The 26480-nt window shown below is 47.6% G+C and overlaps 1 protein-coding gene across 9 annotated transcripts in view; it reads left to right on the top strand.

Moving 5' to 3' along the window:
* The window catches only part of DDC (dopa decarboxylase), a 106964-nt gene extending 81160 nt beyond the window's left edge, over positions 1 to 25804 (top strand). For 8 of the 9 annotated variants that reach the window (XM_005271745.5, NM_001082971.2, XM_047419932.1 and 5 more), the window contains 6 exons: positions 4383 to 4459; positions 7603 to 7622; positions 14075 to 14173; positions 16931 to 17032; positions 20815 to 21033; positions 25403 to 25804. In XM_005271745.5, the coding sequence (XP_005271802.1) occupies positions 4383 to 4459; positions 7603 to 7622; positions 14075 to 14173; positions 16931 to 17032; positions 20815 to 21015 (499 nt within the window). In that variant the 3' untranslated portion in view covers positions 21016 to 21033; positions 25403 to 25804. Of the gene's footprint in view, positions 1 to 4382; positions 4460 to 7602; positions 7623 to 14074; positions 14174 to 16930; positions 17033 to 20814; positions 21035 to 25402 lie in introns of those variants that run through there. The other variant, XM_047419931.1, reaches the window with a different exon arrangement.

The raw sequence follows: 26480 nt of genomic DNA, 5'->3' as shown, positions 1-26480 counted from the left end.
ACAAAGCCAGATGTTGGTAGTTGGCCTGCCTAATTACATAAACGATCTCTGGAAAGATAGGTCAAAAATAAAGAAAACACAGATTAACTTGTAGTAGAAAATACAATGGCACAATTACAGATACTTCAGAGATTTCCGAAAATAGTAAGGGAGCATTATGAGTAACATCATGCCAAGAATTGCCCATAAACACATATATTCAATAACTACAACAAAACATGATACCAAAACTGACTCAAGAGTAAATAGAAAACCTGAAAAATCTTATTGTTAATACAACATGTCAATAGTAAAATTTTCTTACAGCAGAAATACCCAAATTATTATTCTTTTTTTTTTTTTGAGATGGAATCTTGCTCTGTCGCCCAGGCTGGAGTGCAGTAGCGCGATCTTGGCTCACTGCAAGCTCCACCTCCCAGGTTCACACCATTCTCCTGCCTCAGCCTCCCCAGCAGCTGGGACTACAGGTGCCCGCCGCCATGCCCAGCTAATTTTTTTTGTATTTTTAGTAGAGACGGGGTTTCACTGTGCTAGCCAGGATGGTCTCGATCTCCTGACCTCGTGATCCTCCCGCCTCGGCCTCCCAAAGTGCTGGGATTACAGGTGTGAGCCACTGCACATGGCCAGAAATACCCAAATTCTTAAATAATGAGTATCCTAAACTGCAGGAAACTTATCAGTCCAATCCTAAGTATAATTCACAGAGAGCAGCAAAAGAGGCCACACTGCCTCTTATATCTTGAAGCCAGTCTAAATTTGATTCTAAAACCAGATGAGAAGCTGAGACAGAAAAGCTATAAACAATCTCACAAACTTAAATGTAAAAATTCTATGTCAAACATTAGCAAATAAAATCCAATGAGATTTTAAAAAATATAGTATACCATGTCCAAACTGTGTTTAATCTGGATATGGCAGGATGGTTTAATAGTAGAAGATTTTTAAAGTGCTAGTCACCATGTTAACAGAGAAGGAGAAAAAAAGTTATCATATTAGATGCAGAAAAAGCATTAGATAAAAGTCAACAACATTTCAGGACAAAATGTCTTAGTAAAATCGGAACAGCAGAGAACTTCTTAATCTGATAAAAGGTAACTACCAAAAAACATAGTGAACCTTTACTTAATGGTGAAATATTAGAAGCACTCCCTTTAAAATCAGAAAAAAATGAGGATTCCCATAATCTGCACTTCTATTCAACACTGGACTTTCCTAACCTCCATAATAATTTAAAAAAAAAAAGATAAAGAAGTAAACATGTAAGGATCAGTATGGAAGACATAAAACTCTCATTGTCAGATGATGTAACCTCAATAAAAAGAGAATCCTCAAAGTATTATTAATAAAAGAACCCAGCAAGATGTCTAGATACACTAACATTTTTAAGGTTGCATTTTTTTACATCTACATTAAACAGTATGTGTAATTTTTACAAAGGTAACACTCTTTATAATAGCAAGAAAAGATATGTTTACTATGAACAAACATATCCAAACCTGTTCAGATTTATATGGAGAAAATTCTATAATTTTTTGGAAGTCATTAAAGAAGTCCTAAGTAGGATGATATGTTCATAAAGAAGACTCGATATTAGACCTCAGCACAATTCTAATAAATATCCTGGCATAATATTTATATGGGCCAAGAATAGCCAAGATAATTGTGAAAAAAAATATAGTGAGGAAGTTGCCTCCTTAAATATCAACGTGTGTGTGTAAAGTAACCACGACTGAACTCATGTAGCACCAGCGCGGGCACAGATGGGTAGAGCACATTAGAAGAGAGAGCCAGAAACAGACTCCACATATTCCAATTAGGGCTTCTAATGTTTACAGAATTGTTGCAATCCAATATGACAAGATAAGCAATCTAACAGAAAAATGAACAAAAAATTCTTTATCAAGGAGGAAACAGATATGCTTAATAAATACAAAGTTACTCACCCTCCTTAGTAATCAGAAATGTAAATTGAAATCCCAGTAAAACACTATAGGTTGTTTACAATAGTCTCTTCATACTAAACGTTGACCAGGATATGGAAGAGGAGCTCGCAGACTGCAGAACTGTTGTGGAGACTGATTTGGAGCTATTGAATACGGCCGTAGATAGATGCTTTCCTCCAACCTTAACATAGCTCACCTTGTGCTATTCCATTGGCAGATGCATGGCCGACGGGCGCTGCCACTAGGGGCTCCAGGAGTATGCACAGGGATGGTCCCATGTCCACATCAGTGTAGTTTGTCTATCAATAAATGGGAAATGATAGAATGAATGGATTGGGATATGTGCATGCACTAAAATCCCAGGAGGTCATACAAATGAGTGAGCAAGAGCCCTGCGCATGAATGAATGTGAAACTCATAGGTCTATTTTGGGGTAAGAAAGCAAATTATAGAAACATGCATGGAATTATAAAATTTAAGATAATACATCTTAAGTTTATGGTACAGTATGTTTAGCAGTGTGCAAAATAATATAGATTGCTTAGGGATTTGGAGAGAAAATTTTGTAGAACTATGTAAGAGTAGGAACACAAATTCAGCCTTGTGGCCTCTTGTGTGGGACAGGGAGAGGAAGTAGGTGAGGGACAGGAATATTTAACTTTTATTAATACTTATAATTTAAGTTTTATTTCATAAGCAGGGGGTGGTGATTTATTCTTTACATCTTTTGTATGGCTTTAATTAGTGCAAAATTTTTTAAATTAAAAAACAGCTGGAAGGCCCCTGCTGAGAATGAGAAGGGAAAGTGTGATCTTTGTGGACAAAGGGCAGAGTTCTACTGATAGCCATAAATATTCACATCCCTCTTGGTCCCCTCTTTTTAAGTCTAGGCACAGAGCTTTCTCTAATGCAGAGAGACCCAAAGGACCTCCCCCCACAACCAGTGGCTCCCCATAAAATGCCTATGATGCAAGAAAATTCCTATACACACAAAAAATTAGGTGCAATTTTCTTCCACAAGTCAAAGAAAGAATATACACTAGACAGCTTATTATTCCTACTGACTTTGTCTGTCTTTAACCTTAAAACAAAAATAAAGGCTCAATGACCATTTATAGATAAATCCAGCCTCTCTCTCACCTCCTTGGTAAGCCACATCTCAGCATCCTATTTTGTGCTCACTGGGTTCTGTCTTTCAGGGACTCTCACGTTTTATTTGTTTTCAAGCCTAAGCTACTGTCAGATTAACATTTCTTCTCTAGTTTGCCCTTAGGATACTTTATTTGCTACAAAATTGCTTTGTGATGGTGTCACCACACTGCCAATGAAGCAGAGCAATGGCAATTACCGTAAAGCACAGGCCCTTCAAAGGCCAGCCCAGTGAGAGTTTGCGTCCGAGTTCTGCAGAATGACTACCAGTGTGAGTGCTCTGTGTGCAGACAGGTGAAAGAGGACCCCTGTCTGCAGCCCAGGGCATCCTGGCCTTCTCACTCATTAGCCCTTGGGATTTTCACCCCACACACACTTACTGATGCCAGCAGGGCCAGTCACTGTGCTGTCCCTGGAAAGAGAGAGAGGAGCAAATGCTAACCTCTGTGGTTTTCCCTCTTGACACCAATTCTCCAACTCTGCAGACACCAGCTGGGTGTCCTAAACTCACTCCTATTCTGACTGTAACTACCTAGAGGTAGCGTCAGACTCCACAGGGTTAAGGGCTCAGTCCCATCAGCCGGCCCCCACTTCAAATGCCAGTTACAGTGTTGGGTCTCCAGGTTACCCACAGTTCTGTCCACCGTGGCTACAAACTCAGGGGGGTTCCCATAACCCTTGCCCCAGGTTCAGTAACTTACTAGAACAACTCACAGAATTCAAAAAAGCATTTTACTTAGGTTTACAGGTTATAAAGAGTACAAACAAAGAAATGCAATGGCAAAGTACAAGTGGGGTGGTAGGTCACGTGGCTTCCATGCCCTCTCTGTGTATGCCACCATCCCAGCATCATGAAGCATTTACCAACCCAGAGCTCTCCAATCCTGCCACTTAGGAGTTTTTAACGGAGTTTCATTCAGTAGGGATGATTGCTTAAATCACTGGCCAACTCATCTCCAGCCCCCTACCCTCCCTGGAGATTGGAAGCCATCGAGGAGACCCCAGCTGCCAGCTATCTTATTAACATGCAAAATGAACCCTTATCACTAGGAGATCTCAAGGGTTTTAGGAGCTGTGTGCCAGGAACTGGTAACAAAGACCAAATATTTATTTTTTATTCTAAGACGCCCTCCCCAGGTACTTGGAGCAGAGACAGGGCCGTGCAGGCAGAGTGGTGTTCAGGGCAGGGCTGGGAGCAGGTGCCTGAGCTGAGGCAGGTGGGGAGAGGGGAGAGGTGGTCCAGTCTAGGGTACTTGGTTATCAGCCCTTTCATTTGTTCTCTAAAACCAGGGTGAAAAAGAGAACAGACTTAACGGGAGCCTTTAGACTGGACCCCACTTACCTGAAGCACAGCCATCAGGATTCAGGTAAGCTGTGAGCCTGCTTTCTGTGGACTGTTTCTGGTCTTGTTCCCCTCAGAGCTGCCCTGGAGGTCCCTGGGAGTTAGGGGAAGACCATCCATATCCAAGGAGGCTTTCACAGAGAAGACGGGGTGCTGTGCATTCCTGGATTTGCCCTTGTAGCCCACTCCCTGTGGGTTGGTTAAGAGGCTTGGGGAGGCTCCCTGGGGGAGGCTCCTGCTCTAGAAGCACTGAGAACCTGCTGGGCTCATTGCAGGAGCAGGGGCAGGTGGGCACAGCCATGGGATTTTAATATGGGCATGCATACCACCTGCAGATAAGGAAACGTCTTTAACATAATGACAGCCATAATGTCTACAAAAAGGCTTTGCATCACCTTCCACCAATACCATGAGGGGGCAAAGTAAATGAAGAAGGTTGAGTAGGGTTGGTGAGGGAAGAGAAAATAAGATGAAGCCAAGGCTCAGATCAGCACACAAAGGTGCACCTAAGTCATTTGGTCAGTAGGCCTGCTCTCTGTGCCTGGCGCTGGTGACAGCCAAGGAGGCTCAGCACCCACCTGCAACGTCTAGCAGGGAGGGGATGAGTGGGCAGTTATCGAGTGGCATCAGGGGACACAGGCTGCTCTGGGGCCACAGCACGGAATGCACAATTCTTGGCTTTTGCACTTCACCTATGTCGTCTCATTTGACTTGGGCCAGTGTATCTGGCTAATTAATGGTAGGCGTTGAACTAGAACCAAAATAAATAGAATTTTTTTGATAACTGAAAATTCTGTCACAACGCTGGTGAGGAGGTAAAGTGGTTACACTAGTCATGTAGGCTTTGAAGATGTATTCCTTATTATTAAAGATGTACATTTGGAAAATAGAGTCAACGCTGGGCCAGAAAATTCCTGTAATCCCACCACTCAAATGCAAATATTGCTAATATATTGCTGTATTTCTTACCAGTCTTGTTCAATGCATTGTTCGCTTTAACTCTGCACCACTTACCAATTACCAATATACAAGCTGCCCTTCCCACATGTACCTCATGAAGTTTTACATCTTATGAGGCACATAAGACCTATTAAGTAGTCCACAGTTCAAGTAAAACCATTGTCAGAGGAAACTACTGGCTAAGAGGTTTGTCATTTCTTTATGTTAACAGTAAAGAATTGTGCAAGGAAGCTTCTAACTGGGCCAGTTCTTTACTCGTCCATAAGGAAGCAGATTCACGGAGAAGCAGATAGGAACTTGCACTAATTAGACACCGTATCTGAATTCTTCTACTGAAAGCCTCCAGTTTTTCTTTCCTGTAGAAGTTTCTGCAATGAGGGAAATTTATAATTCTGCACCACCCAATATGGCAGCCACCAGTCCGCATGTGGCTACTGAGTGCTTGAAACGTGGCTCATCTGTTGAAGAACTAAAGTTTAATTTCCTTTAGTTTTAATTAACTTAAATTTAAACGTCAACAGCCACATGTGGCTACTAGCTACCGTATCAGATGGTGCGGTAATAGAAACTAAAAAGGTGGGCCATTCCCTCATTTTCATTCATGACAATCATCTGGTTCTTTGACAATTTTTTTTTTTTGAGACAGGGTTTGGCTCTGTCACCCAAGCTGGAATGCAGTGGTGCAACCTTGGCTCTCTGCAGCCTCCACCTCCCAGGCTCAAGTGATCCTCCCACTTCAGCCTTCCAAGTAGCTGGGACCACAGACGTACAGCACAAGGCCCAGATAATTTTTTGTATTTTTTTTTTTTTTTGGTAGAGACGGGGTTTCACCATGTTGCCAAAGCTAGTCTTGAACTCCTGAGCTCAAGCGATTTGCCTGCCTTGGCCTCTCAAAGTGCTGGGATTACAGGTGTGAGCCACCACGCCTGGCGTCGACAATTTCTTACTGAGTGCTTTCTGCATGCACTCTGTTGAGTGTTGTTGTTTCATTTGCAGTGGTTTCTGTGAATCATTGCCAGATGCTGCTATTGATGTTATGTTTGTTTAACAAGCTCCCTTACTAATGAGAGGCCATGTGTCGTAAAGGAGAGTACTGTGTATGGGTTGAGATAGGCTGTATGACTTTGGGCTTCCATCTCAGGGTCACTCATAAAACAGGGGGTGGAGGTCTTGCATCTCCTCCCAGCACTGCCATTTTTTATGCTAGTGGAGAAAATAACTATTAGGGAATGATACCAAGTGGTGACTTCAGATGTTCTTGTAAATACAATGTAGGCACTCCTGTGCAGTGGATGAAGTGCAGGGTGGGGCGTGGGTTGTATTAGGTGGACAGCTTGTCCCAGCTGAGCATGGTCAGGGCCTGCTATGGCCCTGCCACAGCCCCTGTTGACTGCGGAAGTAGGGGACACTGATGTGCCTGGTCCAGCCCACATTCGTGGATCTACTCCCAGAGCACAAGACTCCCTTTTCCACCGATCTGTGCAGCAGGACTGCAGCATGTTGTCATAATCCTCACCTGATGTCTTGTGCAGGATCACTTGTATTAATAGAAACTCCCGTCTCTGAGCCTGCATTCAGGGTTCCTTCTCCTTTATTGTCCTGGGGTTTGCTGCTTTAGGCATGAGGGGAGGCTCAAAAGCAAATCATCCATTTTTCATAACCAATGTGGAGCCAATGATTCCTGGATGTTAAAACTGACTCAGCAGATATTCACTGAGTGTCTGCTCTGTCCCAGATACTGAACTAAGATCTGCTAAGATCCACGGATACAGAGATGAATAATCCCACCAAGAGTTTCATTCTCCTTTTTAAAATATTCTAATCACTCCGTATATCACAAATTCACCTTCCCATGCATGAATGAATGAATGATGAACGATTTACGTGATCTGAATGCTAACTCTCTACTGGGCACTAGATGAAACCTCAGATGTTCATGCTATGTAACTGCAGAAAGCAAAACTAATGGGGGTCTATTGAGAGTGTAACATTTCCAATTTGTGTTTTGGGCATCCTGTTCTCGGGACACACCCTTAGAATATGTTACCCTGGGAAGTGCCGCAAAGAACACCCAGACCCAGCCTTTGGGCAGTTTTATTTCTGGCTTAGAAGACACAAGAAATTTACCTGGAAAATGAAAAGGATTAGCGTGTGATCAACAAACCTGTCTAACGATTTCTTTTTTCTTTTTCTTTCTCTTTTCTCCAGGGCTTATCACTGACTACCGGGTAAGTGGGAGATTCCACTGTAATCTCAAATGCTAGTGGAGTGCTGGGGGGCTACGCCACAGCTGTCACACATCTCCTCCCCCACTCTCATGATCAGCACGCACTGGTGGGCACCTTCTAACTGGGTCCTAACTGACAAATTAGGGGGGTCCTGCCAGGTGGCGGGCAGCTCTGCTGAACCCCTCAGTCAGAGGTCTCAGGTTAGGAGGGGGAAACCTGGACCCTGGACTTTGCTCCTGGGGAGGAGAAAGGAGCTTCTGCCCCTCATTCCTCTGGAAGGAAAAGGCCCTTCTGCCCTGGGCTGCTGTGTGCCTGGGGCTGCACTGGTGGTGGCAGTGGGAGAGTGAGGGAGGAGTCAGGGAACAGAAAAAGCTCCCAGGTGGGGCCAGTCATCTCAGCAGCCTAGTCTCAAATGCATTGGTCCTCTCTCGTTTTTATTTGAAACAAGTGTTGAATGAGGCATACTTTGAAAATGCCAGGTTGTTCTAGTGTTAGTCTGGAAAGGAATTTGGGACCAAAGGCAGTACTGCGAAGCTTATCAAAAGAATAGAACCCAAGGGGGAGGGTGAAACTCAGGGGGAACAGAGGTGTGGCCACTGAGCTGGCTGTCTTCTGCCATCAAGAGATGACCTGTGGCCAGGTGCTGTGGCTCACTCCTGTAATCCCAGCACTTTGAGAGGCTGAGGTGGGTGGATCATCTGAGGTCAGGTCTTCGAGACCAGCCTGGCCAACATGGTGAAACCCCATCTGTGCTAAAAATACAAAAATTAGCTGGGTGTGGTGGCAGGCACCTGTAATCCCAGCTACCCCGGAGGCTGAGGCAGGAGAATCATTGGAACCTGGGAGGCAGAGGTTGCAGTGAGCCGAGATCATGCCACTGCACTCCAGCCTGGGTGACAGAGTGAAACTCTGTCTCAAAAAAAAAAAAAATGACCTGTGTCCACGTGTGGTGGGCACCAGACATCATCAAAGCAGAGGCTGCCATTTCCCGACAGAGGTGTGTGTCTAAGTGCGTTTGGAGCAAACATTGTCAGCAGCCGGTGTGATAATGACCCAGCAGGGGCTTCCCCTCAAAGGCATGGGTAGCTTGCCTTCTTCCTGTGACAGCTGTGAGCCAGGAGGCAGGGGGGCAGCAGTAAACCTTCCCAAGCCATCAAGGCTGGTCCTAGGACAGTTTTGGCAAAGTTTGCCTGGGACCACCCAGCTCTACACCCAGGGAGAAAGGCCAGGGTGTGTGCACATAAGGGCACACTGGGAAGATCCATGGATGATGCCATTTAAAACTTTCATATAATCCCATTGTCAATCTGACTTATCTTTTGGAAAGTTATTATTGAAGGGAAAATATGACAATAATATTAAAAATAACCTGAGGACCAGCTCACCCTGACCTTTCATCCTCGCGCCTCTGTGGCCTGTGTTTCTGTCTCCTCCTCTGGTTCGTGGCCTTTCTCAGACTTCATGTTGCATGAGGGCCACGTGCTGTACAAACGACATTGCAGCTGGTTCTCATGGCACTGAAACTAAAATTGCAATACCTTCTCCACTCCTCCACAGCCTTAGTAAGTACAGAAAATCTACACAGAATCCCATGTTATATGGTATAATTATTTCCCTGTTATTTAACTACTTCCCTGGGAAAGTCCCTTGCTTTCCTAAATGACTATGCAGTGGGCATCTGGCACATCCAGCTTTCTGCTGAGGATGAGCTGCTTCCTGCAGCATGAGACTGAAAATGGGGTAACAGGCACGAACACTTCATGCCTTTTATTTTATTATTTTTTAATTTTGCTCTTTCCCAGCTTAGATATCATTAGAAAAAAAGGCACAACACCATCTCTGGTTCACATAAAATAACATAGGCTTTGCTAAAAACTCCGTATTGACTAACAAGTCCTCTGGGAACCAAAGTCCTTTTAGATAAACTTGGCACTGTCTTTCAAAGGCCTGGGGCACAATCCCCAGCAATGCTGGCTTATGTTACATTGCCCAAGACAAAAACCAGCCCAGCTCTGCCCGCATCTAGCAGCTCAGGGAACATGATCTCCTCAGACAGTTTCTACCGTTCACCAAGAATCACAGATCTGTACTGGCACCCGCCTGCAGGACCACGAAGGTGGCAGGGCTTGCCTGAGGCTTCCCCAGCCTGTTCTTCTGCTCCATCCAGGGCCTTCCAGTCCTCAGGGCTCACTCCTTCTTCCCAACCCTAGGTTCTTCATCCTACTCCCTCCACCACCAGTCCCTGACCCTCATGGGGTCTTTCTGTCCCCTTCTGTCTTTAGTGCTGAGCCTCACTCTCCTCAGCACCTCAGGCCCTTTCCGCACTGCTAATCCAGAAGACTTGAGCCCACCATTCACCCTGCCTTGATAGGCCAAGCATTCTTTGAAAAGCGTTTGTCCTTCTGTTACTTCAACTAGTTATCTCTACTAGTTATCTCTACTAGCTTAATGAAAGGCATTGGCCTCGGTTAAGGAAAGGTCAAGCATCAGCAACCTGTGCTCCAGCCCTACTTTCAAAGCATCCTTTGATCAGCCCCTGTACTCCCCACCCTGTTGGTCCTGCTGTGAGACCTGGGTCTCTTTCACCCCATCTCAAGGCAGCCCCTTGACTGGCACTCCCTTTCCAACCAGGAGCTATGAGCTGCTCCTGCAGCTACTCAGAGGTGAGTGAGGCCCAAAGCCACCTCCAAGACTCCCAGGCCACTGAGGGAGACAGAGGCGCAGACCACGCAGGCCCTGATGCCTGTTCTGAAACACACCTGAGACACCTCGATCCTCCAGCCTGCCCTTTGTGGCCCAAGAGGACATGCCCCAAGTCCTTAGCTAGTCCTCTGCCTGCCAGCTCTCCTCTTGCCGCTTGTGGCAGGCAATGATGCTGAGATCCCTGGCACTATGGCTGGCAGTGCATGAGTCAGGAGCCATGTGGGGACAGTCCTTGTTTGGCTGCCTGTTGCTTCTAAAGGAACCCAGGCAGATGGGAAGCACCACAGCAGCCCAGTCCCACTGGCATCCATCCACCAGGCTTGGGAGGCTCTCTGGGGTGATTGGCCTTCTGTGCTGCTGTGTTCCTAGAGAGGGCTGGAGATGGCACATCATGTGTTCACAGCCAATGTTTCATGGCTGATGAGGGGACAAACGCATGAACCTTATGAAAGATGGAATGCAGAAGGTGAAAGCTGTTCTGGAGCAGAGGGGCTTCTAAATGCGAAGCACAGGCATTAGGCCTCAGCATACCAGCCCCAGGAAGCAGGAGTGGCCATGTGGGGACAGCCCCGGGCAGCCACCGGGAAAGCACACACAAGTTGGCCGGGTGTGAGTATGGGAGCAGCCTCAGGGCCCTGGTGTGCAGAGCCCCCAGGGCACCTCTCAGCCCAGCTTTGCTCTTTCTATCCCTTGGGTGCAGGCACAAGTGTCACTGCCTCTTACTGAACCCTCTCCATCTGCCACAACCCAGGGATGTCCCTGGCCGTATTTCCCGGCATCTTCTCTTTGCTGCTATTTTAGCTACAATGCAGTGACCTCTTTCCCTCTCTGTGCTCACATGCACCTCTCAGGCTCCTCTATGATTCCCACCTTGAATGTGAATTCCAGGCAAATGTCCCCAGAGCATTTGCTTTGCTGGGCTCAGCAGGGAATGGGAAGGAATATCATAGACATTCTCATTTTGTTCAAAGAGGCTGGAAACCCAAACCTAAGGCGGTCTGGGGAGAAGATCCATCAGTCTGGGGAGAAGATCCCTGGATGGTGGGCTGCCTACTGGGCCAGTGAGAAAGTGTGGGGTGAAAAGGATGAGCAGACCCTGGTAGTTCTATCCCCCGTCAGTAGATGAGGGCACGAGGACAGAGTGTTAGTCCCAGGAGGAGGCTGTTCAGGACGCGAGGTATGGCAAGAGAGCTCTGTGTTCTTTCTGATGGTGAACGGCACACTGAAGATGTAAGACAGCACCATTTGCCTCCAGTTTGCACGGTCCTGGGTAAAGTGGGCATCATTATGCCTGTTTCATAGGGGAGGAGACAGAGGTTCAGAAAAGTTTGCTGAACCTATTGAAAGACAGGACCACGGACCTAGGTCACAAGCCACTGAGCCATGCAGCCCTGCATGCTATTTGGATGAGGAAACTGCATCTTCTGGAAGATGTTGATGGCTTATCAAAAATGGGACAAAATACAGGTTTAAAAATGATCAATTGTGGAGGAAAAAGTACCAGGAAATAGATCATTTGATGTCCGGGAAGCATCAAATATGAATTGACTTCTACATAAAGAATCCTTTCAGATGACCCATGAATGAGGGTCAAATGGGTTTTACTCCTGATTTATTTAAGTACGTCCATCAACAATCTTCCACAAAATGTGGGCTGGCCGCGCCATGCCAAGCCAGGTGCTGGGCTTGGGGCTGGGACTAAAAAGGCAAATGAGACAGAGTCCCTTTCCTCTGGGAACTTAGTCTGGCAGGAGGTGAGGCTGGGTACACAGGGGTCACAGCTGTCTACTGCAGGCACCCAGGAGCATATTGGGGGAGGGGACAGTGCATCGAATTCAGTCTCTGGAGAGAACATGACAACATTTGGAGCCACATTTGAGTGAGCATTCAATTAGATTGTGTGCATTTTCACTCCGGGACCACAGAAATTAAGTTTACCTTGGTATTCTTCCAAATGTTAGACTGAAATCTAACATTTTAATTTGTAGGAAGTTGACCAGTCGAGGAATGATTTTGGAACACAGCGCCCATGCTGAACCATGGCAGGGAAGCGTCGTTTTACTGACTGTTAGATAGTCAGTCAGCTAGTGGTGGGATAAGGGGTTCTTCTTTTAGATTTCCCAAAAGACAAGTTAGCTTAGTTCTTGAGCAGCCCAACAGCTTGCAAACAGTGCTGACCAGCAGACAACTGTGTGTGCAGGTTCGGCTCAGGCTCTGCTGCATGCTGGCTTGGTGACATTGGGCAAGTCACTCTCCATACCTGCTTTTGCTCCAAGAAAGTGGGGATCCGAACCCTTGTTTACAGTGCTGCTAGGAAGCTCAAAGGAGATAATGTGTCAACACACCGGGCAGGGCCTGGTGTGCAACTGGGGGGAACCACACTGAATGCCTGAGTCAGAGGTTGGGTCCCTGTTTCCCTTTTGACTTGAGAAGCTCCTGCAGAACCATGGCTCTGGGCCCTTGAGCTACTTCTCTTGTGTTCAGAAGCAGTTGCCACCTGTTCATTCCACCCACACTTTATTTTATTTATTTATTTATTTTGAGATGGAGTCTTACTCTATTGCCCAGGCTTGAGTGCAATAGCGCCATCTTGGCTCACTGCAACCTCCGCCTCCTGGGTCCTGCCTCAGCTTCCCAAGTAGATGGGATTACAGGCATGTGCCACCATACCAGGCTAATTTTTGTATTTTTAGTAGAGAGAGGGTTTCATCATGTTGGTCAGGCTGGTCTCAAACTCCCGACCTCAGGTGATCCACCTGCCTTGGCCTCCCAAAGTGCTGGGGTTACAGGCGTGAGCCACCGCATCCGGCCTTCACCCACACTTTAAAAAACACCTGCAAGCCCTCCTACTGGGGAGCAGTGCGGGACTCAGGACTCCGGCTAAGCAGTCCCACCCGGCAGATGGCCCAGCTGCGCTAGAGTGTCGCGCCTGGCTGCACTGTGTCACCCAGGCCCAGTAGGGAGCTGGCTCAGCTCTCCTCAGTGTCTCCTTTATAGCTGAAATAGAATATGACTGTTAAGATGACCACACAGTGCTGCTATGCTCACTTCCCAGCAGTCTCCTCGTCCCAGTCCTTCCTTACTCACTTCACCACATCTCCATCCCTCAGTGTGTGGGGGCCGGTCAACTGACTGGGTCTGGGAAAACCAGAGGAAGGACAGGGAAAGCTTCTGGAGCACCAGCATGGAGACACACATTGTGTCTTCTGATGAGGGGTCTTGGGGTCACTCCATGGTGATCAGTAGGACCAAGAGGGAACCAGTATTGCTCTAGAAAACAGTGCCAGAACATCTGGGGCAGAAGTGGCAGACAAGAGCAGGTTCTGGCTCCCTCCTTCCTCGTAGGCAAGGACATCAATGAAAATTACCCCCTTATCCCCACTGGATGGTGAGCTCACTGGGGGCAGGGCCGTGTCTTCCCTGTTTGCTCACCACGGAACCCTAGGGGACAGCCCAAGGTCTGGCCCTGCTGTGCATGCCGCAAACACCTGTTGAGTGAAAACAATGAACATCACTGGCTCCCAGGTCAACAGTCCCCATCTGTGTTCCTTTCTCTTGGAGATTTGCAAAGAAAGCCTCTGCCCACATCACCGAGGGCCCTGCCATCCAAGACAGGCCATGGCAATGGGAGCAGGTTGGCCACCAGGGAATCGGCTGCCTCCAAGAGAAATAGGCGAGCCGGTGAGCCGAAAAGGAAGCCAGCTTTTAATATCTTCCTCACTGATGGTCTGTTTCATGTTTCATTTCAGCATTGGCAGATACCACTGGGCAGAAGATTTCGCTCTTTGAAAATGTGGTTTGTATTTAGGATGTATGGAGTCAAAGGACTGCAGGCTTATATCCGCAAGGTGACTTTGTTTTTATTATTTATCACGGTAAAATTGCGGAGGTCTTTCGGGACTTTAGAAATAAATTCAAATTTTTTTTCTTTTTTTTTTTTTGAGACAGAGTTTCACTCTTGTCCCCCAGGCTGGAGTGCAATGGCACAATCTCAGCTCACTGCAACCTCTGCCTCCTGGGTTCAAGCGAATCTCCTGCCTTAGCCTCCTGAGTAGCTAGGATTACAGGCATGCGCCATCATGCCCAGCTAATTTTTGTATTTTAAGTAGAGATTGGGTTTCACCATGTTGGTCAGGCTGATCTTGAACTCCTGGCTTCAGGTGATCCACCCACCTCAGCCTCTCAAAGTGCTGGGATTACAGGTGTGAGCCACTGCACCTGGCCTTCAAATGTCTTAATAAGCAAATACATGGCAAGAGAACCAGACTGTAGTTTGGGTTGTTGAGATGAGGTTATTTATAAGATCTGTTAAGTCACTTTCGTTAAGATTGCAGGTTATCAGGTCCAGGAAGATGGTCACAGTAGAAACATCACATAGGTTGTGCTTTAGCCACATCTAGCCAAGAATGAAGTTCATTGAGCAATGGCAATTATGAGAACATAAGGACTGTGTTTTTCTCCCCCAAAATTGCCAGAATAAGATAGATATTCCCTAGTCCAGTGGTTCTCAGACATGCTTCCAGACCAGCAGTGCCGGCCTGCAGTGGGGCCCAGCAACCTCTGTTTTAACAAGCAAACCAGACACCTTCTCTATGCACTAAAATTTGAGAACCACTTATCAGCTCCAAGCCCCACTCCCCTGCTTTTTTTTTTTTTTTTTTTTTTAAAATAACAATTGGCTGGGTGTGGTGGCTCACGCATGTAATCCCGGCACTTTGGGAGGCCGAGGTGGGCAGATCATGAAGTCAGGAGTTCTAGACCAGCCTGGCCAACATAGTGAAACCTTGTCTCTACTAAAAAAAAAATACAAAAAATTAGCCAGGCATGGTGGCAGGCACCTGTAATCCCAGCTACTCGGGAGGCTGAGGCAGAAGAATCACTTGAACCTGGGAGGCAGAGGTTGCAATGAGCAGAGATTGTGCCACTGCACTAAAGCCTGAGTGACAAAGCAAGACTCCGTCTCACCAAAAAAAAAAAAAAAAAAAAAAATGAGGAAACTGAGTCCTGAATATGAGCCTGGATCTGCCTAGAGCCACCCGTTTAGCCAGCTGCAGAAGGCCTGCTGCTGTTCTGCTGGCTCTCTCTGATCCTGGTGTCCTTCCTAAGCTGTGGCCTCATCTTGATGGACAGAGGTCCCCAGGCTTCATGGGAACAAGCACACTTATGATATTCAGCCTTAGTGATGGTAACAGCCCTCCATTTTAAGTCCTGTTGCCACTTCACAACCAGGTGTGCAGGGGCAGGTGTCCCCAGCCACCTCCTCTGTGGCACAGCATATATAAACACATCCATCTGCAAGCTTCATAGAATGCCTAGGATGTGCCATGAACTGCCTACTCCCAAAGCTTCGGTGAGGACAGTTCCAGGAGCTGCCGAGCACTATGAGGACCTGTTTGGGGGCGAGAACTGGGAAAGGAGTATGTATATGAATTCCTGGGTAGGAAATCCCCCTCTACCCATTTGAGACGAATTCAGCTTTTTTGGGGAAAGAAAGCCAAAAAATAAGGGATTTATCTCCCCACAATGATGACGTCTTTAAGCTCAAGGACAACTAGTTATGATCATGCTGGCTCCTGTTTAAAACACACTCCACTTCTTTCTTAAAGGGGACCCAATCCTGCCTTAGGAGCAGAGTCCAGCGATGCTCAAAGCCTGTCTCCTTGGGCGGGAACCGGCTTTCGGGATCGCCCATGAGGCCGAGGTCTTTGGCGCTCTCTGGTGGCATGACGAGGAACCACTCGTATGACACGTGTTTTTGTCCCAGCCACCCCCTGCCCGCGAGGCGCCGCGTTTCCGCAGGTCCTCCCCAGCACCTGCAACATGGGGGCCCTGCTGTATCCGCGGGCTTAGAATGAGCAAGGCACGGGCCTACGCCACGGAGGGCTCCTTCTCCTAGGATCACATGCTGTCTGAATAGCTTCTGAGTTCTATAACTATTTGGAAGTGAAATAAGGTCAGTGTGATATTCAATGAGAGGAAGGCCGTTTCTGAATGTGACAGAGCGGACAGGATGCCCAGCTCTAGGTGGCAAACGCGGAGGAGGAGCAACAGCTGTGGCAGCCACAGAGCTGCAGCTCCATCAGGCTGCCTTAGAATCCTAGCTCAGCCAAGGCCTCCGGGTGCACCTTGGGCATGTCGCTCACCCTCTCCCAGCCTGTTTTCTTATCTCCAAAATGGGGATAATCATGATATCTTCTGTGTTGTGGGCTGTCCTGAGGATGCCGCAGTGGTGAGCGCTGGCACCTCAAGCACAGAGGAGCAACTCGATGGGCATTAGCCATTGTCTCTTCCAGAATGATCAAATACCTCCTCACGGTGTTTATTCTAACATTATAAAAGACAGTTTGGGTGGGATAAGAATAGTCCCATGAACAGAAGAAAATGACAATTGGTGTTCTGAGGACACTAGACCTGTGCTAATGTAGGGAATGAGTTTCTTAGCCTGCCTGGAAACAGCTGGTCAGTGAACGGTAAAAGCACTTGAGGAAAATTGCCAAGAGCGTCTAAATGAATTATACATGGGCAGTCTAATAAGGTTTTCTAGGTAGTTAAGTTCTGAATTAAATGGCCATGAGAAAAACAGATTTTCCCTTTCCTCTTTGAAGCATGTCCAGCTGTCCCATGAGTTTGAGTCACTGGTGCGCCAGGATCCCCGCTTTGAAATCTGTGTGGAAGTCATTCTGGGGCTTGTCTGCTTTCGGCTAAAGGTTTGTCTACATCTATTCCATTCTTCATTTTCTGTGAATGTGACAGAGGGGAAAGTGTTGTTCATTACCTCCATGCTCAAACACTGGCACTGGCTCTCCAGAGATGGCAGAGCAAAGCCTGCATTCTTTGGCCCACCGGCCTGCCCTGCCCCATGCTACACAGCCTTGTTTCCACGCACAGCGGCTGTTCCCGCTTCCTCAAGCCTGCCATGAGACTTCTAACTTACATAGCTTATTGGCCGCAGAATCTTTACCATTTTTCCTTCCTCAAGGCTCCATCCCACACCTCTGCCACTGGCCCTCCTTGGAGGACAGCGGCCTGTCCATAGCCTCACTAATCTGAGTGTCTTCTGTGGATCAACAGCATCAGCATCATCAGCATTGTCTGGGAGCTCCTTAGAAAAGCCAGTCTTGGGCCCCACCCTAGAGCTGCTGGCTGCGCACCTTTACAAGATGCCCACACAGGAGTCTGTTTGACACTGTGTTGTGGCGTGCTGTTATTTTGCTGCCTGATGCTGTGCATTCACCAGGTGAGGGCAGGCTGGCCCACACGGGTTGGGGCATAAGCCATCTCTACTGAGAATCATGATACAGTTCTCAAAAAGGCTCTAAGATGCACTGCACACATGCCCCTTGGTAATCTCCCTTGTGTACACAGAGCCAGGTGAGACCAAATGCTCTGTTTGGTTTATAAGGTTTTTTTTTTTTTTTTTTTTTTTTCTTTTTGGAGACAGAGTCTCCCACTCTGTTGCCCAGGCTGGAGTGCAGTGGTGTAATCTCGGCTCACTGCAACCTCTGCCTCCCGGGTTCAAGTGATTCTCCTGCTTCAGCCTTTTGAGTAGCTGGGATTACAGGTGTGCGCCACCACGCCCAGCTAATTTTTGTATTTTTAGAGATGGGGTTTCACCATGTTGGTCAGGCTGGTCTCGAACTTCTGACCTCGTGATCCACCCGCCTCAGCCTCTCAAAGTGCTGGGATTACAGGCGTGAGCCACTGCGCCCGGCTGAGGTAGCTTTTAATTCACAATCATTTCAAGCCTTTCCAGGAGGCTTCCTTGTTCAAATTAAAGACAGCACTCAGGAGAAGGAGCAGGCTGGGGTCAGTGTCATTGTCAAGGGGCTGCCAGTCAGAGTGTGGCACTGCCACTCCACCTACTATGTCCTTTTGCCTCACCTGACTCTTGGAGCTCTGAGGCGAGGAGGAGCTGCAGCCGTGGGAAAGCCTGCAGGTAGCAGAGCAGGAGAGGAGACTTGAGCCCTTGGAAGAGCACAAAGTGATGAGACCTGGGAGGTGCACAGAGGACCGAGAGGGCAAGACACGCTCTGGATGTTTGTGGGAGGAGCCTCAGTCCATCCATGTCCAGGATGTGTCCAGTCAACCAACCTTAGTGTTGGCATCGTGCTTATTAGACTCATCTGCTGTCAAGCAGTTGTTTTCATTCTTGTTTTTGTTGACAGTTTTCTTCTAGGACTTTTATATTCTATTTTTTTAACAGTTCTATTGAGATATAATTCACTTTGTTCATTTAAAGTTAACATTTGGGCTGGGCGTGGTGGCTCACGCCTGTAATCCCAGCATTTTGGGAGGCCGAGGAGGCCAGATCACTTGAGGTCAGGAGTTCGAGAACAGCCTGACCAACATGGTGAAACCTCGTCTCTACTACAAATACAAAAATTAGTCAGGAGTGGTGGCACATGCTTGTAATCCCAGCTACTCGGGAGGCTGAGGCAGGAGAACCACATTGAACCTGGGAGGCGGAGGTTGCAGTGAGCTGAGATTGTGCTACTGCGCTCCAGCCTGGGCGACAGAGCAAGACTCTGTCTCAAAAAAAAAGGCTACGTTTGAGTATTTTTAGTATATCTACAGAATTGTGCAGCCATCACCACAATCTAATTCTAGAACATTTTCATCCCCCTAAAAGAAACCCCACACCCAGTCATGCCACTTTCCCCATCCTCAGGGCTACTAATCTGTTTTCTGTCTCTGTAGGTTTGTCTATTCTGGACATTTGTATAAATGAAAACATACAACATATTGCCTTTTATGACTGTTTTCTTCACTTAGCATAATGTCGTCAAGGTTATGGCTTTTATTTTATTTGCATAATTTGTAGATGCCACCAAACCCATCTGTGTACTGGTTTCTGTCCATTCTTCTCTCATGCCATATAGTGAGTCCTCTCATGAAGGAAGTCCAAGGCATTTTTCAGCTGACAAATGTTTCCTTTTGTAAAACTTTGCTTGTGCCTCCAGTCTGCAAATCCAGTTTCTGGAGGAAGCGCGTTAGTCAAACACTGTGGCTCACTTTTCTGCCTCCATATCTGCCATCTTGGCCTCACTCTCTCCTGGTCTAATCCTCTCTAATCTGAATTTCAGGTCCTCTCATGCTGAATGCTTCAGTGTGTCATGTGGCTCTTTACTAAAGCAGAAGTGATGTTGCTATGGCATCACGGTCCCTCTCCCTCCATCCTCATTATGGCCAGAACTTGCTTGGTCTCCATCTGTGTGCACTCAGCCTACTTTGTTCATTGTAATTGTCCCACCTCTGCTAGGCTTCTTGCCTCTACTTCATGGAAGTACTGCCCTATCCAGTCTGTTTGAAAATGGCAAGCACATTTTTCCTAAATAATTTGCTTCCATTTTCTGTGCTCTATACTTTGCAGATGTTTGCTCTCATACTGAGTCTTTTTGGTAAAATTCCATTCCCTTGGTATGATAATTTCTTTTTTTCTCTATCCTCATCCTTGAGTCCTCATCCAGATTCACCCAGCCTTGGTGTTCACCCACGGTTTCCAAATTTCCTCTGGCCCATCACTGTCTACCTGGGCACAACAGGAGCAGGGCACTCAGGCCCATAGCTAGAGGCCAGGGGATTTGCACAGCTCTATGGCCAGGTGCCAACATCCAGCAGGTGCTCGTCTGAGGTGGTTCCATGCAGTGGATAGAACTCTCTCCTTCCCACTCATCCTCCCTGCTTCTCCACTCTGAAGACAGGGCCACGAAGTGCAGTCCTGTGAGGTTTGGGTGACTAGGATGCAGTGTCCCACATTCAGTTCCTTCTATTTAAGACTCCATGGCTTAGAAGACATGGAGTCACTGCCTGCAAACAGAAGAAGGACAGAGGAGCAAAGGGAGATGGAGGTGAAGTGTCAGAAGACCGGCTGCTATGGAAGCAGGGCCCAGGCAGGACAGCAAGGGCTTCCCATTGGCTTATTGATACCAGGCTTCCAACTCTAGTGTAGTGGGAGGGGTGGGGCCTCTGCGCCTACCCCAGGCTGGTGGGCCGTGCTTGTCTGGAGAGGCACCAGTGGTTGCTCGGTCCTGTGGTTCATGGACATTCTTCTCAGATTCTAGCACTAGCTTGACCGTTATGCTTCATTTTCTAGGTTGCTGAGACTCTTCTATGTTTCCGTGAGAATTTAGAGACTCCTCCCCTGGTGCCATCAGAAACCCCAATTCTGCTGTTTAAGCTCATATATTTGTAGATTACATATCCAGGGATCCTTATTTTCCTTAAAAAAACTTAGACCATGGAAGGGTCATCTTTTGATGGCACATCAGAATATAGAGAAATTGTCTGTGGGGAGAAGATGCATGCAGTCTTTTAGGGTGCATTACTATTATTTTGTTGAATTTTGTAACATCGTAAACGCAAGGGGGATGGTTAGTCGGCTTCTTCCTGATGTACGGTAGGGTTGCCAAGCACTGTCTTTCCTACATGACCAGTTGATTTTTGAGTCCTCAGAGACCTGAGCACAGTTCCTCTCTTTCAATCCCTCCAGGGTTCCAACAAAGTGAATGAAGCTCTTCTGCAAAGAATAAACAGTGCCAAAAAAATCCACTTGGTTCCATGTCACCTCAGGGACAAGTTTGTCCTGCGCTTTGCCATCTGTTCTCGCACGGTGGAATCTGCCCATGTGCAGCGGGCCTGGGAACACATCAAAGAGCTGGCGGCCGACGTGCTGCGAGCAGAGAGGGAGTAGGAGTGAAGCCAGCTGCAGGTAGGCTGCCCTGGGCTCATTTTCTGCCTGTCTCCTTGTCCCGTGGCAAGAGTGTCCTCCTGGAGTCCAGACCCAGCTACAGGCCCAGCCCGGCCACTCAATGCTGCCAGAGTGCATTTCCCTCACCTTAAAATAAGGAAGAGAAGGCCGGGTGCGGTGGCTCACGCCTGTAATCCCAGCACTTTGGGAGGCCAGGGTGGGCAGATCATGAGGTCAAGAGATTGAGACCATCCTGGCCAAAGTGGTGAAACCCTGTCTCTACTAAAAATACAAAAATTAGCTGGGCGTGGTGGCATGCACCTGTAATCCCAGCTATTCCAGAGGCTGAGGCAGGAGAATCGCATGAACCTGGGAGGCGGAGGTTGCCGTGAGCCGAGATCGCGCCACTGCGTTACAGCCTGGCGATAATGCAGGACTCAGTCCAAAAAAAAAAAAAAAAAAAAACAAGAAGAAGAGAAAACCATGTTAATTCTGGAGAAGTAGAAGGAATGATACATTGTAATAATTCTTTTAAAACTTAGATTTTTACTTTTTATTCTTACATCAATCTCTATAATACTTCAGGTTTCTTCAAACAGCATTTGTTGAGATAACTTACTATCATAACAAGCTCATATAAGAAACTGGTGACCTTTAGAGAACTAATGAAAACAATAAAAAGGGAATTTATTATGACTCACGACTTGCCGTCCAAATTCTTGATGGTTTGAAGAAAGGATATGTTTCGACTACCGGGCTTCTTGCAGTTGTGAGGGGTTTACCCCTCATAGTTAAACCCTGGAGACAGCATGCAGTTAATTTGTAAAAACAAAGCACACATTTTAAATAAATGCAGTGTTGGCAACATGGAGGGTATTTAAAATTATGTTTGTGGGAACCTAGACAACCTTAGAAAGCCTCTTCATTAGGTTATCTTAAGAATGTCATCCTGTTGGGGTATGTCTACCTTTTTCTGTTTATTTTCTTTTTTTTTTTTTTTTTTTTTTGTCTTTTTGTCCCATTTGGTGGAAGAATCTGTGATCCCTCCTTAGGGTCTGCTTCTCTTTCTCTCTCTCCCTATCCTTTTTGCAATGGCTCGTTCATTATAACCCGTGGGGGATTTAGAATCTGTGGATCATGTAATGCATTTCCTGATTGCCTACAATTTTTATCTTCTTTGCTGTTGATTTTAATTGTGAATATCTGAAAAAGTATAGTGCTCAACAAGTCAGAAGTTGAAAATCATGTTTGGTATATGTGATAGACCTGTCCATGGCTCCTGAAAGTTGAAGCCAAAGGGCTACCTTCTGAGTCAAAATGTGCCCTGAGAACCAGGTCCTTTCCCTGGTGCAACCAGGGCCTTCCCCTACTCATAAGCTGAGAAAGACCTGGGGTCTGAGGAAGAACTGCTGACCCAGAGCAACTCCAAAGTGGTATCTCAAGCATCTCTGGAAGGTAGTGGGGAGAGGCTTATATGTTGAAGTTATTCCATTGCTCTCAGCATAAGACTATGTGAGGGGAGGGAAAGTACCGCTGTAAGCTCTGTATGAAACAAATCCCTATCAGGCAAACGCTCCCGACTCGCATTTCTGCAACCCCACGTTTGCATCTGTCTCATAAGCATGTATCATATCAGGATCTTATTGACATACGCCCAGAAGAACATATGTGGAGAGTGTAGCTCTGAAAATTTATCAGCAAAGGTGTGTTTCCGATAGGAGTCTCAGTTCCTCTGGAGTCATTATATTTGCTGTAGATTCAAAAGGTAAAAATGAAATTCAATTTTTAAAAAGATATGTGATACAATAGTAAGTCCTAATGCATGTATGTTGTTTTGGACAGATTAGAACAATAAAAATCTTAATATCTTGATTTTACTTGTACTTATTTGAGTTTATTACACATATTCATGTGGTCATAGCTCTGAGAGAAAGTAGGAACTATTCTTATTTTACAGAGGGTAGAAAATTAGGCAGAGATTCTAGTTGACACTAATACAGTTTTCATCAGAGAAGCCAGATTGGCAATAAAAATTCCTTTATTTAAGTTCAAACTCTTTGGCATTGCACAATTGTCTCTGTTTCATTGGAGAAATTATACGTTCGTTCTTTATATTCAAATAAGAAGTACATGCAATTCTTATTCTTTATTTTTTTAATTTTTATTTATTTATTTATTTTTTTTTTTATTGATCATTCTTGGGTGTTTCTCACAGAGGGGGATTTGGCAGGGTCATAGGACAATAGTGGAGGGAGGGTCAGCAGATAAACAAGTGAACAAAGGTCTCTGGTTTTCCTATGCAGAGGACCCTGCGGCCTTCCGCAGTGTTTGTGTCCCTGGGTACTTGAGATTAGGGAGTGGTGATGACTCTTAACGAGCATGCTGCCTTCAAGCATCTGTTTAACAAAGCACATCTTGCACCACCCTTAATCCATTTAACCCTGAGTGGACACAGCACATGTTTCAGAGAGCACAGGGTTGGGGGTAGGGTCACTGATCAACAGGATCACGAGGCAGAAGAATTTTTCTTAGTACAGAACAAAATGAAAAGTCTCCTGTGTCTACCTCTTTCTACACAGACATGGCAACCATCCGATTTCTCAATCCTTTCCCCGCCTTTCCCCCCTTTCTGTTCCACAAAACCGCCATTGTCATCATGGCCCGTTCTCAATGAGCTGTTGGGTACACCTCCCAGACGGGGTGGTGGCTGGGCAGAGGGGCTCCTCACTTCCCAGTAGGGGCGGCCGGGCAGAGGCGCCCCTCACCTCCTGGACCGGGTGGCTGGCCGGACGGGGCGGCTGGCCGGGCAGGGGGCTGACCCCCCCACCTTCCTCCCGGATGGGGCGGCTGGCCGGGCGGGGGGCTGACCCTCCCACCTCCTTCCTGGACGGGGCGGCTGGCCGGGCAGAGGGGCTCCTCACTTCCCAGTAGGGGCGGCCGGGCAGAGGCGCCCCTCACCTCCCGGACGGGGCGGCAGGCTGGGCCAGGGGCTGACCCCCCACCTCCCTCCCGGACGGGGCGGCTGGCCGGGCCAGGGGCTGACCCCCCCACCTCCTTCCCGGACGGGGCGGCTGGCCAGGCAGAGGGGCTCCTCACTTCCCAGTAGGGGCGGCCGGGCAGAGGTGCCCCTCACCTCCCGGATGGGGCGGCTGGCCGGGCGGGGGGCTGACCCCCCCCACCTCCTTCCCGGACGGGGCAGCTGGCCGGGCAGAGGGGATCCTCACTTCCCAGTAGGGGCAGCCGGGCAGAGGCGCCCCTCACCTCCCAGATGGGGCGGCTGGCCGGGCAGGGGGCTGACCCCCCCACCTCCCTCCTGGATGGGGCGGCTGGCCGGGCGGGGGGCTGACCCCCCCACCTCCCTCCCGGACGGGGCGGCTGGCCGGGCCGGGGGCTGATTCCCCCACCTCCCTCCCGGACGGGGCGGCTGGCCTGGCGGGGGCTGACCCCCACCTCCCTCCCGGATGGGGTGGCTGCCGGGCAGAGACGCTCCTCACTTCCCAGACGGGGTGGTTGCCAGGCGGAGGGTCTCCTCACTTCTCAGACGGGGCAGCTGGGCAGAGACGCTCCTCACCTCCCAGACGGGGTCGCGGCCGGGTAGAGGCGCTCCTCACATCCCAGACGGGGCGGCGGGGCAGAGGCGCTCCCCACATCTCAGACAATGGGCGGCCGGGCAGAGACGCTCCTCACTTCCTAGATGGGATGGCGGCCGGGAAGAGGCGCTCCTCACTTCCTAGATAGGATGGCGGCCGGGCAGAGACGCTCCTCACTTTCCAGACTGGGTAGCCAGGCAGAGGGGCTCCTCACGTCCCAGACGATGGGCGGCCAGGCAGAGACGCTCCGCACTTCCCAACCGGGGTGGCGGCCGGGCAGAGGCTGTAATCTCGGCACTTTGGGAGGCCAAGGCAGGCGGCTGGGAGGTGGAGGTTGTAGCGAGCCGAGATCACTCCACTGCACTCCAGCCTGGGCACCATTGAGCACTGAGTGAACCAGACTCCGTCTGCAATCCCGGCACCTCGGGAGGCCGAGGCTGGCGGATCACTCGCAGTTTGGAGCTGGAGACCAGCCCGGCCAACACAGCGAAACCCCGTCTCCACCAAAAAAATACGAAAACCAGTCAGGCGTGGTGGTGCGCGCCTGCAATCGCAGGCACTCGGCAGGCTGAGGCAGGAGAATCAGGCAGGGAGGCTGCAGTGAGCCGAGATGGCAGCAGTACAGTCCAGCTTCGGCTGGGCATCAGTGGGAGACCGTGGAAAGAGAGGGAGAGGGAGACCGTGGGGAGAGGGAGAGGGGGGAGAGGGAGAGGGAAAGGGAGAGGGAGAGGGAGAGGGAGAGGGACTTCTTTATTTTTTTTAATGTAGCCATATGCTCATGCTATTTTTTTTCCCTGTAGGAATCAAAAATTGAAGAGAGATATATCTGAAAACTGGAATAAGAAGCAAATAAATATCATCCTGCCTTCATGGAACTCAGCTGTCTGTGGCTTCCCATGTCTTTCTCCAAAGTTATCCAGAGGGTTGTGATTTTGTCTGCTTAGTATCTCATCAACAAAGAAATATTATTTGCTAATTAAAAAGTTAATCTTCATGGCCATAGCTTTTATTCATTAGCTGTGATTTTTGTTGATTAAAACATTATAGATTTTCATGTTCTTGCAGTCATCAGAAGTGGTAGGAAAGCCTCACTGATATATTTTCCAGGGCAATCAATGTTCACGCAACTTGAAATTATATCTGTGGTCTTCAAATTGTCTTTTGTCATGTGGCTAAATGCCTAATAAACAATTCAAGTGAAATACTAATTGTGTCAGATGATCATCTTGTTCTATGTTGTATCAAATTTATTCTTGTGATACAGACATTCCCTCCAAAGTAGACAAAGATACAGCATCCTTGGATGTTTTTAAACGGCATTCATTTATTCAGCAAATGTTCACTGAGTGCCTAGTATATGTCAGGCACTGTTCTGGATACATTAACAATACACAGGTTTTACTTGAAGATGACTTCAACTTCTGTGGAAATAAAATTAGAACCAAGAGTCAACCTGGAGCAATGAGATCGAGGTCTCTGCTGTGATGGGAAGGATTCTCTGGCTTTCTGGGCCTTGATTTTCTGGTCCGACAAGTCTATCTGTCCTGTAGTATCATGATTGATAAGCAACTGAAGAGTACTTCTGTAAACATTAATTCCAACAAGGATATGGTATTTACTCAATCTCACTTTAAGTTCACTATCTGTATTGGGAACCATTTTGCTTTTAGAAACATGTGTTTTAATCCTAAGATTAGTTATTGTCCTTTGAAGACTACAGAACTATCAAAGGCACTGTCAGAAAGGGTCCTTGGGTTATTACCAAGTATATTTGAATTTCAAAGACCTCAGATATCTATGTGAACTAAGTGAATGATACGATCTGTTACTCAAAAATCTGGAAATATGTCAGATGCCAAGTAGTTCCCCATCTAATTT

The sequence above is a fragment of the Homo sapiens genome, chromosome 7 (genome assembly GCF_000001405.40).
Source record: "Homo sapiens chromosome 7, GRCh38.p14 Primary Assembly".
Taxonomy (NCBI): Eukaryota; Metazoa; Chordata; class Mammalia; order Primates; family Hominidae; genus Homo; species Homo sapiens.
The sequence above is the reverse complement of the archived record's forward strand: the minus strand, read 5'-3'. Positions and strand labels throughout refer to the sequence as shown.